Source organism: Homo sapiens, chromosome 9 (genome assembly GCF_000001405.40).
Source record: "Homo sapiens chromosome 9, GRCh38.p14 Primary Assembly".
Lineage (NCBI taxonomy): Eukaryota > Metazoa > Chordata > Mammalia > Primates > Hominidae > Homo > Homo sapiens.
The window spans coordinates 88376728-88389354 of NC_000009.12; the positions used below are offsets into that span (position 1 = coordinate 88376728).

The following is a 12627-nucleotide window of genomic DNA, read 5'->3' on the forward strand; positions in this document are numbered from 1 at the left end:
AAAAATACAAAAATTAGCTGGGCATGGTGGCACATGCCTGTATTCCCAGCAACTTGGGAGGCTAAGGCAGGAGAATCGCTTGAATCCAGGAGGCGGAGGTTGCGGTGAGCCGAGATCATGCCATTGCATTCCAGCCTGGGCGACAAGAGCGAAACTATGTCTTAAAAAGAAAAAAAAAAAAAGGCCGGGTGTGGTGGCTCATGCCTGTATTCCCAGCACTTTGACAGGCTGAGGCTGGCGGATCACGAGGTCGGGAGATCGAGACCATCCTGGCTAACACGGTGAAACCCCGTCTCTACTAAAAAAATACAAAAAAATTAGCCGGGTGCAGTGGCGGGCGCCTGTAGTCCCAGCTACTCAGGAGGCTGAGGCAGGAGAATGGCGGGAATCCAGAAGGCGGAGCTTGCAGTGAGCTGAGATCGCGCCACTGCACTCCAGCCTGGGAGACAGGCGAGACTCTATACCAAAAAAAAAAAAAAAAATTCTGATCCCCGAATGCCTGGGGAGACTGATTTGAGTAATAATAAAATTCCCATCTCCGTACGGCTCTGTGTGAAATACTCTTTCTCTATTGCAATTCCCCTGTCTTGATAAATTGGCTCTGTCTAGTCAGCAGTCAAGGTAAACATTTTAGGTGGTTATACATTTATAAACATACACATTTTATAAACATTTATAAAATATCCTCCTTCTCAACATAACCATCATCCCACTCCCCAATAAAATAATTATCTGTGATCGTGAAGTACCCAGTTTACTTGCTGTTTGACAATTATTTTTGAGACGGAGTTTCACTGTTGTCACCCAGGTGGCGTGCAGTGGATGCTATCTCAGCTTACTGCAACCTCCACCTCCTGGGTTCAAGGGATTCTCCTGCCTCAGCCTCCTGAGTAGCTGGAATTGCAGGCGCCTGCCACCACGCCCAGCTAATTTTTGTATTTGTAGTAGAGGCGGGGTTTCACCATGTTAGCCAGGTTGATCTCGAACTCCTGACCTCAGTGTGATCCACCCACCTAGGCTTCCGAAAGTGCTGGGATTACAGGTGTGAGCCACTGCACCCAGCCTGACAATTATTATTATGCTATCTTTTTCATGAGCACTCCATCAGGTCAAATCCTGTCTCCAAAAGTTTATTACAAGAGTCTTCTACATGGTCTCCTATATCTCAAAATTCCTCCTCTACATTTTCCTCTAGACAGCACCAGATTGACTCAGCAAAGTTTACCCCACAAACCTGACCGAACAACTTAAATGGTTTCCAACTGTATGGTGAAACTCCTTTATAAAAGTGTAGTTCTGTATAGAACTTATTTTGATCCTTGACATAACTCTGTAAGAATGGGCAAGGAGAGTTTAAATTCCCCCAATATCCTGGCGCTTCATAACCCCAGTGTCCTAATAAATCCACATGACCCAGTATTCCCTGACCATGTCATGCGTTTATTCATAATAAACAGTTGTTGAACCCTTACCGTGCTCTAGGAGTATACTGATAATGAAAACAAGAGTTTGTTGTGCCCTCTGGACTTGATAATGGGGTATGAGAACAGAGGATACACAAGTAAACAAACTGATACCTATGCAGTTACAAAAAGGATCTATGCTACAAGTAGAAACAATAAGGGTGTAAGTAAAAGGAAATAATAGTGGGCAATCTACTTGTGCGGGTGGTCAGGGGAGGCTTCTCTGAGGAGGTGACATTTAAAAGCATTTATTTGCCTGCTGTGCAGAAAATGACCTGTAGGGAGGTGGGGAGTCAGCCAAGGGAAATGGAAAGAAGCCTGGTAAGTTGACCAGATGGCTGAACTCTGCTCCTGCTGTTTCTCTCTTCAAGTTCTTCATTCAGTAAACATTTCCTGAGCACCATGTGATGTCTCCCCGCTCCCCAACCCTGTGATGTGTAAATGTTCTTGTGGATATACACTTTGTGCCCCCTCCAGAGGCTAATGAATAATGATAACTGCTGAACCAGGGAATGGAAGGGCTGTTCTGGTTTTCTTTTCTTTCTGTCTTTTTTTTTTTTGAACGGAGTTTCGCTCTTGTCACCCAGGCTGGAGTGCAATGGCGTGATCTTGGCTCACCGCAACCTCCGCCTCCCAGGTTCAAGCGATTCTTCTGCCTCAGCCTCCCGAGTAGCTGGGATTACAGGCATGCGCCACCACACCCAGCGAATTTTGTATTTTTAGTAGAGATGGGGTTTTTCCATGTTGGTCAGGCTGGTCTCGAACTCCCGACCTCAGGTGATCCGCCCGCCTCAGCCTCCCAAAGTGCTGGAATTACAGGTGTGAGCCACCGTGCCTGGCCTCTGTTTATTTTTATACAGACATGGACAGTTGTTTGAGAGAAGCCTGGAAGGGCATGGCACTACAATTTGTGATTTTGCTGAGGCTCCAGGAGCATGGCATTAAGCCACAGTATAAATGAGTATGGAGAGGGGGTGCCTTCCGAGAGACACAGTTCCTGGGTTCTGTTTGCCCCTTGTAGTCCCACAGCTGCCTGGCTTCCAGCGGACAGTGGCAGGCTAGTTCGGGGAGGAAAAAAATATTTTCCCTCAACCCTCTCTGAGTTCTTCACTGAGATGGACTGCTAGAACAAAATACAGATTAACAAGAGAAAAGCAAACAAGTTTATTAACATGACTATCTGATAAATACAAGGGAGATAACTCAGAGAAATGAGACAATCTCAAGAGTAGATCTCAAAGAGGTAGCTTCAGACTTATGTACCATCATTCCCTGATACAAATAATGAAAGGTGTGGGCCAGATCACCCTCATCCTCTGCTAGGACTACCTGGCCAAGAGGTGCAGGGTAAACAAAAGCCAGGTTTGTGATGCAGATTGAGCTTGTGCTTTTTGCATTAGTAAGAGTTTCCAAGGCCGAGAATGGTGGCTCATGCCTGTAATCTCAGTACATTGGGAGGCCAAGGCAGGCGGATCACCTGAGGTCCGGAGTTTGAGATCAGCCTGACCAACATGAAGAAACCCTGTCTCTACTTAAAAAAAAAAACAACACAAAATTAACCGGGCATGGTGGTGCATGCCTGTAATCCCAGCTACTCGGGAGGCTGAGGCAGGAGAATTGCTTGAACCCAGGAGGCGGAGGTTGCAGTGAGCCGAGATCGTGCCATTACACTCCAGCCTGGGCAAAAAGAGCGAAACTCTGTCTAAATAAAATAAAATAAAATAAAATAAAATAAAATAAAATAAAATAAAATAAAATAAGAATTTGCAGTGATTTAGTCATCCTTTTCTTCCTGGCATAGAGAGGAAAACACCATTACAAATGCAGATTTTCTTTATAGAATAAGTTTCTCTTGCAAAAGGATAACTGTTGACTGTTTTCAGAGCTTCTCCTGTGTCTGCTGTTTCCCAAAATCACCAGTTGAAAGTAATCCTTTGTCAAAGAGGCTTATTTGGAATGGCAATATACTGGTCTCCTACAGACATGTTTTGGGGTGGTGTGTGCTGAACTCCACCATTGGCTCCCTCTCCCTTTAATAGAAATGTAAATAACATTTATAGGAGGCCATTGATTTCCACTGAGCTCCTGCACCAGCTCCAACAGACCAAAGCAAGATGGAGTCCCTCCTGCTAAAGTTTGATGCCACCAAACTAAGTTAACTGACCTGAGAAATCAGGAGAGAGAGAGATAAAAGTCACTCCCAAACAGGCCAGTTTTAGCTGGCTTGATAAGGGAGTCTCCTCTGCTTCAACCCTTACAAGGAAAGCAACTTTGAACGTACCAATTTGCTTTTGGTTCTTTGTTTCTGCTTTCTTCATCCTTTTACCTAAGGATTAAGCTCTGATTTTTTTTATCTTGCCCCAATTCCTATCTAAGGGGTCTGCAGAATCGTGCCCTACAAATCATATCAGATGGGTTTTATTTAACCCTGTATATCGTGACTTACTTTCCAATCTGACTCTGGCATAACAAGGAAGAAAATCAAAATATTTTACCCCAAATCATGTTTCTCTGCCATATCTTGAAATGGCCCTGCCAAGCCATGTCTTATGGGAAACATCCACATTCTACAGAGAATCCCCTTTCCCCCTTTTCTTTATTCATTTATTTATTTTTTACCTTCCTTCCTTTCCAGATCCAGGAGATAATCAACTAAGAGCCAGGCACCCTTTTAGGTCCAGTAAGAAACATTTTACAACCTGCCCTCTCTGAATTCTACTATCTGAGAGCTTCTTCTGCACGATAAAACTTGGTCTCCACAATCCTTTATCTTAACCTGAACATTTCCTTTCTACTGATCCCAGGTCTTCAGATAAACTCAACCAATTGTCAACCAGAAAATGTTTAAATTTACCTATAGCCTGGAAGCCCCCTCTTTGAGTTGTCCCGTCTTTCAGAACCAAACCAATGTATTTCTTAAATGTATTTGATTGATGTCTCGTGCCTCCCTAAAATATATAAAATCAAGCTGTGCCCCGACCACCTTGGGCACATGTTCTCAGTGTTATAAAGTTTCAGTGCCACAAAAGAAATAGCACTCGAATATTAAATTTTCTTTTAATTATCAGCAAGGCAAGGTACTTCTATAGAAGGGTGTGCCCTCACAGATGGAGCAATGGTGAGCACACACTTGGACAAGGGAGGGGAAGGGGTTCTTATTCCTGACACCTGCTGCTGTGTCATTCCCCTATTGGCTAGGGTTAGACCGCATAGGCTAAACTAATTCCGACTGGCTAATTTAAAGAGAGTGACAGGGTGAGTGGTTTGGCGGGAAAAATGTTATCACAGAGCAGGTAATCGGAATGAGTCAGGGTGGAGCAGGTAATTGGAATGAGTCAGAGTGGAGTAGATAATCAGAATGAGTCAGGGTGGAGTAGGTAATCGAAAAAGGTTGATTTATGAGGAAGTTTAATTTTGTAAAAATACACAATTCGCCGGGTGTGGTGGTGCACGCCTGTAATCCCAGCCACTCGGGAGGCTGAGGCAGAAGAATCGCTTGAATCAAAAGGTTGATTTATGAGGAAGTTAATTTTAAAAGTAGAAGGCAAAGAATTGAACATACTGACATATTGACAGTTTGAAAAGAAATTTAGAACTCATATCTAACATCAAGACCACCTGAGGGCTGTGTCACTCACTGGCCATGGTCACTCATATGTGGCTCAGAATAAATCTGTTAAAGGTTTATTCTCAACATATCCATCCAAAATACTCATTGCCCACATTGCGGAGATGAGCTCTTGAAACCCCTTCTTGTTCTGAGGGTTGCATGATTGGTGAATTGTTCTTTGGTCAAATAAACTCTGTTAAACTTATCTTGTCTGATATTCTTCTTTATCAGGAAGAAGCTTTGGTGTCGAGTCCAGTAGTCGGAGGCTTCCTGAGAAGTAAACTAAACAGGCCCCCACCATTCAAGACTCACACTCTAGCAAGGTGATGGGATAGTGGGAGAAAGGGTCAGAGGATGGGGGCTGGGCCTAAGACTGGGTGTGGCTCCTCCACAGACCACCTGGGTTTGTTTTTTTTAAACCAATTACTTCCCATGGAAGAATAACTTCTGTATTGAAGTTGTAGCGTGAACATGGGGAAGCCATCCACAGAGACTCTAAACCATCAATAAGCCCTGAGCCGGTATGGAACTTGCCCAAGCTGGTATGGAACTCCTGGGTTCAAACAATACTCCTGCCCAGGCCTCCCAAAGTGCTGGGATTACAGGCGTGAGAGCCACAGTGCCCACCCTTATAGTGTCTTTATTGACCCCCTACTCTCACCAGACTTTTGTCTAGGCAGTGGAGATACGGCAAAGGATAGAGCAAAGGATGTATGCTGGGAGCTTATAAGACTATGATAATGTGACAGAGGGCTAGAGGAGGGATGGAGCATGCTCCCACCCTTGCCAGCCTCCTGGAACCCAGGTGAGCAGACAACACCCAGAGAGGCTCCCAGCAGGGCTGTGTGTGCTCAGTTTGTTTCTGACCCTGTCTCTGTTTGTGCTTTCCTTATTTGTTCCCCTCCTCTGGTCCTAATGCTGACCATCCAGGCAGGTGCTGGTGACTTCGGTTCTGACCGACAGCCTGGATGGACACCACACTTCCTCACGTGGAGCCTGTATCAGTTGTGGCTCTCAGTCAGAGATCTGGCCCCAGTGCCTCATCACATCCAACACAGAAGAGCTGCCTCTGTCTCAGTGAGGCCACCATCTTATCAGGATTCACATGTTAGGTGTCTTAGTCTATTTTCTGTTGCTTGAAACTGGGTAATTTATAAAGAAAGGAAGTTTCCTTTTTTCTTTTTTTTTGAGATGGAGTTTCACTTTGTTGCCTAGGCTGGAGTGCAGTGGCATGATCTCGACTCACTGCAACCTCCATCTCCCGGGTTCAAGCGATTCTTGTGCCTCACACTCCCAAATAGCTGGGACTACAAGCATGTGCCACCATGCCCAGATAATTTTTGTATTTTTAGTAGAGACGGGGTTTCACCATGTTGGCCAGGCTAGTCTCCAACTCCTGACCTCAGGTGATCCGCCCTCCTTCGCCTCCCAAAGTGCTGGGATTATAGGCATGAGCCAGCATGCCCGGCCACAAGGGAAATTTATTTCTTACAGTTATGGAGGCTGGGAAGTCCAAGCTCAAGAGGGCCTTCTTGCTAGTGGGGACTCTCTGCAGAGTCCTGAGACTGTGCAGGGCATCACATGGAGAGGGGGCTGAGTGAGCTCACTTGCTAGCTCAGGTCTCTCTTCCTCTTATAAAACCATCAGTTCCACTTTCATAACAACCCATTAATCCACTAATCCATGTATGGACTATACCTCTTAAAAGCCCCACCTCTCAATATTGCCACACTGGGGGCTATATTTCAACATGAGTTTGGAGGAGATAAACACTCAAACCATAGCATTTAGAGCTGCCTAATCAGCACATCCATAAATCTATAGCCATGAGTGTGAGTGGGAGAACCAGCATGAACCTCAATCATATTAAGGGCCAACATGTTAATATTCACTCAACGGGAGAACCTGAGCAGTCCTAGCTGGATGACCGCTGCCTGACCCATCTGTGTATGACACAGGCAACCACTGGGGAGACAGCATCCTTTCCTAAAGGTGGATCTTCAAGCTCACCCACCTAGAGGTTAAGCCAATCAAATAATTATCCATGTACTTGGGGTATATATTGGATACTGAATACTTTTCGCTGTGTTGAATAATTCTATAATAAATATACTAATTTGAAAAGGATCCCTAGGGTCAGTTTCCAATTATTACATCAATGCCAGTGGGGTGAACATATCAAGGTTCACCGTAGATATAACCACCCCTCATGCCTTTGGTATCTCTTCCTTCTTCCACTCCAAATCACAAGCATATTCATCCTTGGGGCAGAAATCCTCCCAAGTAGGAGCCCAGGAACCCAGAGTTAAAAGACATATACATCTAGTATAGGCCAAGGCTTTTATTTATTTATTTATTTTTGAGACGGAGTTTCGCTCTTATTGCCCAGGCTGGAGTGCAACGGCGCGATCTCGGCTCACTGCAACCTCTGCCTCCCAGGTTCAAGCGATTCTTCTGTCTCAGCCTCCCGAGTAGCTGGGATTACAGGCGCCTGCCACCAAGCCCGGCTAATTTTTTTGTATTTTTAGTAGAGAAGGGGTTTCACCGTGTTGGTCAGGCTGGTCTCGAACTCCTGACCTCAGGTGATCTGCCCACCTCTGCCTCTCAAAGTGTTGGGATTATAGGCATGAGCCACCGCGCCCAGCCGGCCAAGGTTTTTAACATGCCAATTTGTATTTAATAAGCTTGCTATAGGAGGAAAAATATATGTAGAACCTTTGATCCAATCTCTAGAAGTTGAGTATGGTTGAGAAACTGCAAAGAAATTAACTATATGCCAGGGTTGGTGGTGCATGCTTGTAGCCCCAGCTATTCAGGAAGCCAAGGTGAAGGATGGACAGTTCAAGCCAGGCCTGGGCGAAATAGCAAGACTCCTTCTCCAAAATATAACAAAAGCAAAATAAAAGAAATTTGCTATATAGGTAAGTTTCTCAAAACATTTCATTAGCAAGTTGGAGGACAGCAGGAGCTGCCTGGCAAGTTGAATCAATGGTCTTAGTATCCTAGAAATTCATAAATTAACTTGAATTCTATTTTTCCAATTTTTTATTTTGAAAAGTTCGTTTTCCAGAAAAGTTGAAAAAACTGCACAATAACACACCTAGACTCATCACTTAGATCCACCAACTATTAACAGTTTGTTACATTTGCTTTACCTCCATATAAAATACATCAGTCTCTGAGGCATTTATATGTCAGTTGTAGCCATCAGGTCTCTTGTCTAATGATTCAGCACTAACATCCTAAGAACTAGGGCATTCTTGTAAATAGCCACTGTCACACTGAAAAATCTAATGATGATACAATAATACTGTCTAATATATAGTCCATATATAACTACAAAGTTCCCCAGTTGTCCCTCAAATCTCTCTCACAGCTTTTTTGCCTTCAATGCAGTGCTGCATCAGGGGTCACTTAATGGACCAACCCAGTTGTGTTATCTGTCTGGACCAATTCCCTAGCTTGACTTTTTTTAGAGTGTAGTGCAGGGAAATTGTTTTGCTGAATGTCTTCCAACCTGGATTTTTCTTATTTTTTTTTCCAACTTTGATTAGATTCACTTAAACATTTTTGGCAGCTATACATGGGTAATATAAAAACCCATTTGTGACATTCTAATGAGCTAATTAGCAAGGCCTTAGATGCAGCTGAGATATGTACCACTCTAGAGTGTGACCTTTACTGATATAGGGCTGGGTGACATTACTGGACTGTGCATTCTTTTATTTTTAATTTTTTTTTTTTGAGATGGAGTCTCACTCTTGTTGTCCAGGCTGGAGTGCAGTGGTGCAATCTCGGCTCACTGTAACCCCTGCCTCCTGGGTTCAAGCGATTCTCCTGCCTCAGCCTCCTAAATAGCTCGGATTACTGGTGCCTGCCACCACGGCTGGCTAATTTTTATATTTTTAGTAGAAATGGGGTTTCACCACGTTGGCCAGGCTGGTCTAGAACTCCTGACCTCAAGTGATCTGCCTGCCTCGGCCTCCCAAAGTGCTGGGATTACAGGCGTGAGCCATTGCAGCTGGCCGGCCTTTGTTTCATTTTAAAAAATTTTATTTATTTATTGTACAGTTGGGGTCTTGCTATGTTGCCCAGGCTGGTCCTGAACTCCTGGGCTCAAGCCATCCTACCACCTTGGCCTCCCAAAGTGCCGGTATTACAGGCATGAGCCACAATCCTGTGTATTTTTTTTTGAGATGGAGTTTGACTCCGTCACCCAGGCTGGAGTGCAGTGGCACAGTCTCGACTCACTGCAAACCCTGCCTCCTGGGTTCAAGCGATTCTCCTGCCTCAGTCTCTGGAGCAGCTGGGATTACAGGCGTGCACCACCACGCCTCGCTAATTTTTGTATTTTTAGCAGAGATGGGGTTTCACTGTGTTGGCCAGGCTGGTCTCAAACTCCTGACCTCAAGTGATCCACTTGCCTCGGCCTCCCAAAGTGCTGGGATTACAGGTGAGAGCCACTGTTCTTGGCCTTTTTAAAATTTTTTAAAATTTTATTTATTTTAGAGTTGGGGTCTTGCTATGTTGCCCAGGCTGGTCTCAAACTCCTGGGCTCAAGCCATCCTCCAGCCTCAGCCTCCCAAAGTGTTGGGATTACAGGTGTAAACCACAGTCCTGTGTATTCTCAATAGCTCCCAATGAGATCATCACCAGTGGCAAATTTTAAATCAGGGGTTGGGGATGGAGATGAAGGTGGGGCCACATATTTGACTTTGAAGACGTTTTCCGTGAATTTTGGAGGAGTGTGTGTGCTACTGGCATCTAGTGGGTGGAGGCCAGGGATGCTGTCAAACATCCTACAAAGCATGGAACAGACCCCACATGAAAGGATTATCCCATCCCAAAAGCCAACACTGCTGAGGTGGAGAAACCCAGGGATCTCGCCAATGAGATGAAATCTTCCAACCAGCAGACTTCTTGGCACCTACCTTCTTCCCATCCCTCTTTGTTTCGGAGATGACCCCACTGCAAGACATTAAACAGGCCAGGCGCGGTGGCTCACGCCTGTAATCCTAGCACTTCAGGAGGCCGAGGCCAGCGGATTGCTGGAGGCCAGGAGTTTGAGACCGGCCTGGCCAACATGGCGAAACCCCGTCTCTACTAAAAATATTTTTAAAAATTAGCTGGACATGGTGGTGCGCGCCTGTAATCCCAGCTACTCGGGAGGCTGAAATGTGAGGATTGCTTGAACCCAGGAAGCGGAGGTTGCAGTGGGCCGAGATCATGCCACTGCACTGCAGCCTGGGGAACAGAGTGAGACTCCGTCTAAAAAAACAAAAAAGACATTAAACACACAAATGAAAGTGAGTAATTTCTCAACACTTGGTAACTTGTAAGTACAGCGATACACTTTTATATCTCAGTTTTGAAATTAGCTCTCTAGTTGGCCTGTGAACGTCCCATGCCTGCCAAGTGTGTCATCTGAGACAAGCACTTCAATTTGTTTGAGCAGGCATCTATCAATCTTATTTGTTAGAAAAGGTGCCAGTGAAACCCCAAAGAGTATTGCTAACTAATAACTGTGCTGCAGTTTAGAGTGTTCAAGGTGCTTTCCAGTAACATGTTCTGGAATTTGATCTGACAACGCTTTGGGAGGCGGTTTATTACGATGAGGCTGCGCTGTCGCACTCGAGGAACCAGGTCAGTGACCTGCTCCAGGACACGGGACTGGCGGGGAGGGGAGAGCGCCTGGACTCAGCCTCCAAGTCTCGCACTCGACTCTGCAGGAGTAAAAACTATTCTTGATCCTACCTCTCTCCCTTCTGCAAACAAGCAACAAAATGCTGAAAAGGCATCTTAACTGAAACGGAAGTCAAATGAATTCGCGTGCGATCATGGGAATTTTTGGCTCCTAACCTTGCGAGTAGAGCTGGGTGAGTTCCATTTGTGGTGGGGGAGTGGAAACAGGTTTCTGGGCTTGCAGAAGCCACATCCCGTCCCCACACAACCTAGGACAGGCCAGGTACTTGTAGGTGAGGCTCCGGGGCTCCAGCTAACCTGAGCTACCTGGGCTGGGCTTTGTGCGGGGAGGCAGCAAGCGGGGTGAGCCGGCGACGACGCCGGCCTCTACGCAGTGCGGTGGTGAAGACGTCTCTTCCAGGGAGTCACAGGAAGCAAATCCATCCTTTTAAAGGGCTCGCGTCCCGCGGCCCTGAACCGGCGCGCTGGAGCAGTAATGCGACGTTCTCCGAGGTTCAAGGCTCACGGCCCAGCCCTGTGATCCAGTTTCCTCAGTCTTCGCGGTGTGCACCACTCAGGACGACTTGCGGCTTACGTCCAGGACAAAGGGGGCTTGTCCTTTCTTCAACGTCCTACTGCGCAAAAACGAAGCCCTTCTCAGGCTGCCTGCCTTCCAGGAAAAGCTGCGCCCCCTCAGGAACCTGTGCCCCGCGCGCCTGCCGCCGCCCATTCCCGGCGCGCACCTGGCAGTCCCGGGCTCGAGCCCCGCCCTGCCGCCAGCCAGGTGAGAGGGGCCAGGCCCCGCCCTCGCCGGCCCCGCCCCGCCCCACTGCGCCTGCGCAGTCGGCCGTCGGCGCCAGGCGCCGGGGCGGCGCGGCCGTCGCAGTTCGGCGGGCGCAGTGCGCGTGCGCCCTGACTGTTGGGGGGCGGGCGGCGTCCGCGGCGAGGGAGCGGGGGCGGGGAGGCGCCGTCTGGCTCAGGCTGGGGCCGGCGGGAGCGCGAACGAGCGACGGCGGAACCCGTGGGCCTGTGGACTGCAGCCTCGGCGGTCAGCAGGTGAGGCCCGCGCAGGGCGGGCGTGGGTCGTGAGGGAGTGCGGGCTGCGGGCGGGCCAGCGGTGCGGCGGTCTGCCCGGGGGCGCAGGTGAGCGCGGCCCGCGCGGGGCCCGGCGGAGCATTGTCCAGCGGGCGGCGCCCGCATAGCGCCCCCTGCCGGCTGGGCCGCGGCGGGGACCCGGGCTGGGCGGGCCTGGGCCTCGGGGCGGGCGCGCGCTCCTTTGTTCGCCGGCCCCTACTCCTCCGTGCCCCCATCCCCGCCGCCCCCCGCCAACATGGCCGCCACCCTCTCGTCCCCAGTTCCCCGGCCGCCGCCGGCCCCTTAGCGCGCGCTTTGTTTGGAGCCGGGCGGGGAGGCCGGCGGGCAGGGGGCGGCGGCGCTGCGCAGTCGGGCGCGGGGAGGGGGCGCTGCGCCAGAATGCAGGCGGGGAGGGGGAACGTTGCATAATCCCGGGCCGGCGACGGGGGCGGGGCGGGGGGAGGGGCGGGACCCCGGCGCGACGGGTCGGGTCACCCCGGGGACGCGGGCCTGCCCTGGGGCCACCCCTCCCAGGCCCGGGGGATGGCCGCGGACCTTGTAAGTTGCAGGCTCCGCGGTTCGCGGCGCCGGAACGCCCACCGGCCAGTCCTCGCGCCCGCGCAGCCCCTTTCCTGATGCGCCGTCTCTTCGCCGCCCTCCGTGGGGGCGCGGCGAACGGGTTGCGTGCTCTGGAGAGAGACAGGCACTTTTCCTCTCCATCGTGAGTGACCTTGGGTGTATTCGTCAAGGAATGTGTTGAAACGAATTGTGCGATGCGGGAACTGCGCAGCGCCTCGG

The 12627-nt window shown here is 48.8% G+C and overlaps 1 protein-coding gene and 1 long non-coding RNA gene across 3 annotated transcripts in view, besides 3 other annotated features; one reads left to right on the forward strand and one right to left on the reverse strand.

Moving 5' to 3' along the window:
- Positions 1568-2564: an enhancer, noted in NCBI's record as "OCT4-NANOG-H3K27ac hESC enhancer chr9:90993210-90994206 (GRCh37/hg19 assembly coordinates)". NCBI's record gives its function as "activates a minimal SCP1, AML or CMV promoter by ChIP-STARR-seq in primed H9 embryonic stem cells {active_cell/tissue: H9 hESC(primed)}" and the evidence as "EXISTENCE:reporter gene assay evidence [ECO:0000049][PMID:30033119]".
- On the reverse strand, positions 8101-12472 carry LOC124902204 (uncharacterized). 2 transcript variants are annotated; one of them, XR_007061652.1, is made up of 2 exons: positions 12385-12472; positions 8101-11390 (listed from the first exon to the last, which is right to left on the reverse strand). It is a non-coding gene; the product is annotated as an uncharacterized LOC124902204 (long non-coding RNA). The 2 variants fall into 2 exon arrangements; XR_007061651.1 differs by having other exon boundaries at positions 8101-11387; positions 12385-12471.
- Positions 10533-11392: an enhancer, noted in NCBI's record as "H3K27ac-H3K4me1 hESC enhancer chr9:91002175-91003034 (GRCh37/hg19 assembly coordinates)". NCBI's record gives its function as "activates a minimal SCP1, AML or CMV promoter by ChIP-STARR-seq in primed H9 embryonic stem cells {active_cell/tissue: H9 hESC(primed)}" and the evidence as "EXISTENCE:reporter gene assay evidence [ECO:0000049][PMID:30033119]".
- Positions 11470-12369: a silencer, noted in NCBI's record as "silent region_20004". NCBI's record gives its function as "represses an Ori minimal core promoter by ATAC-STARR-seq in GM12878 lymphoblastoid cells {active_cell/tissue: GM12878}" and the evidence as "EXISTENCE:reporter gene assay evidence [ECO:0000049][PMID:35858748]".
- Positions 11717-12627, forward strand: part of SPIN1 (spindlin 1) — a 90251-nt gene continuing 89340 nt past the window's right edge. The window contains exon 1 of the mRNA NM_006717.3: positions 11717-11811. The gene's annotated coding sequence lies outside the window, so the exon portion shown is untranslated. The remainder of the gene's footprint in view (positions 11812-12627) is intronic.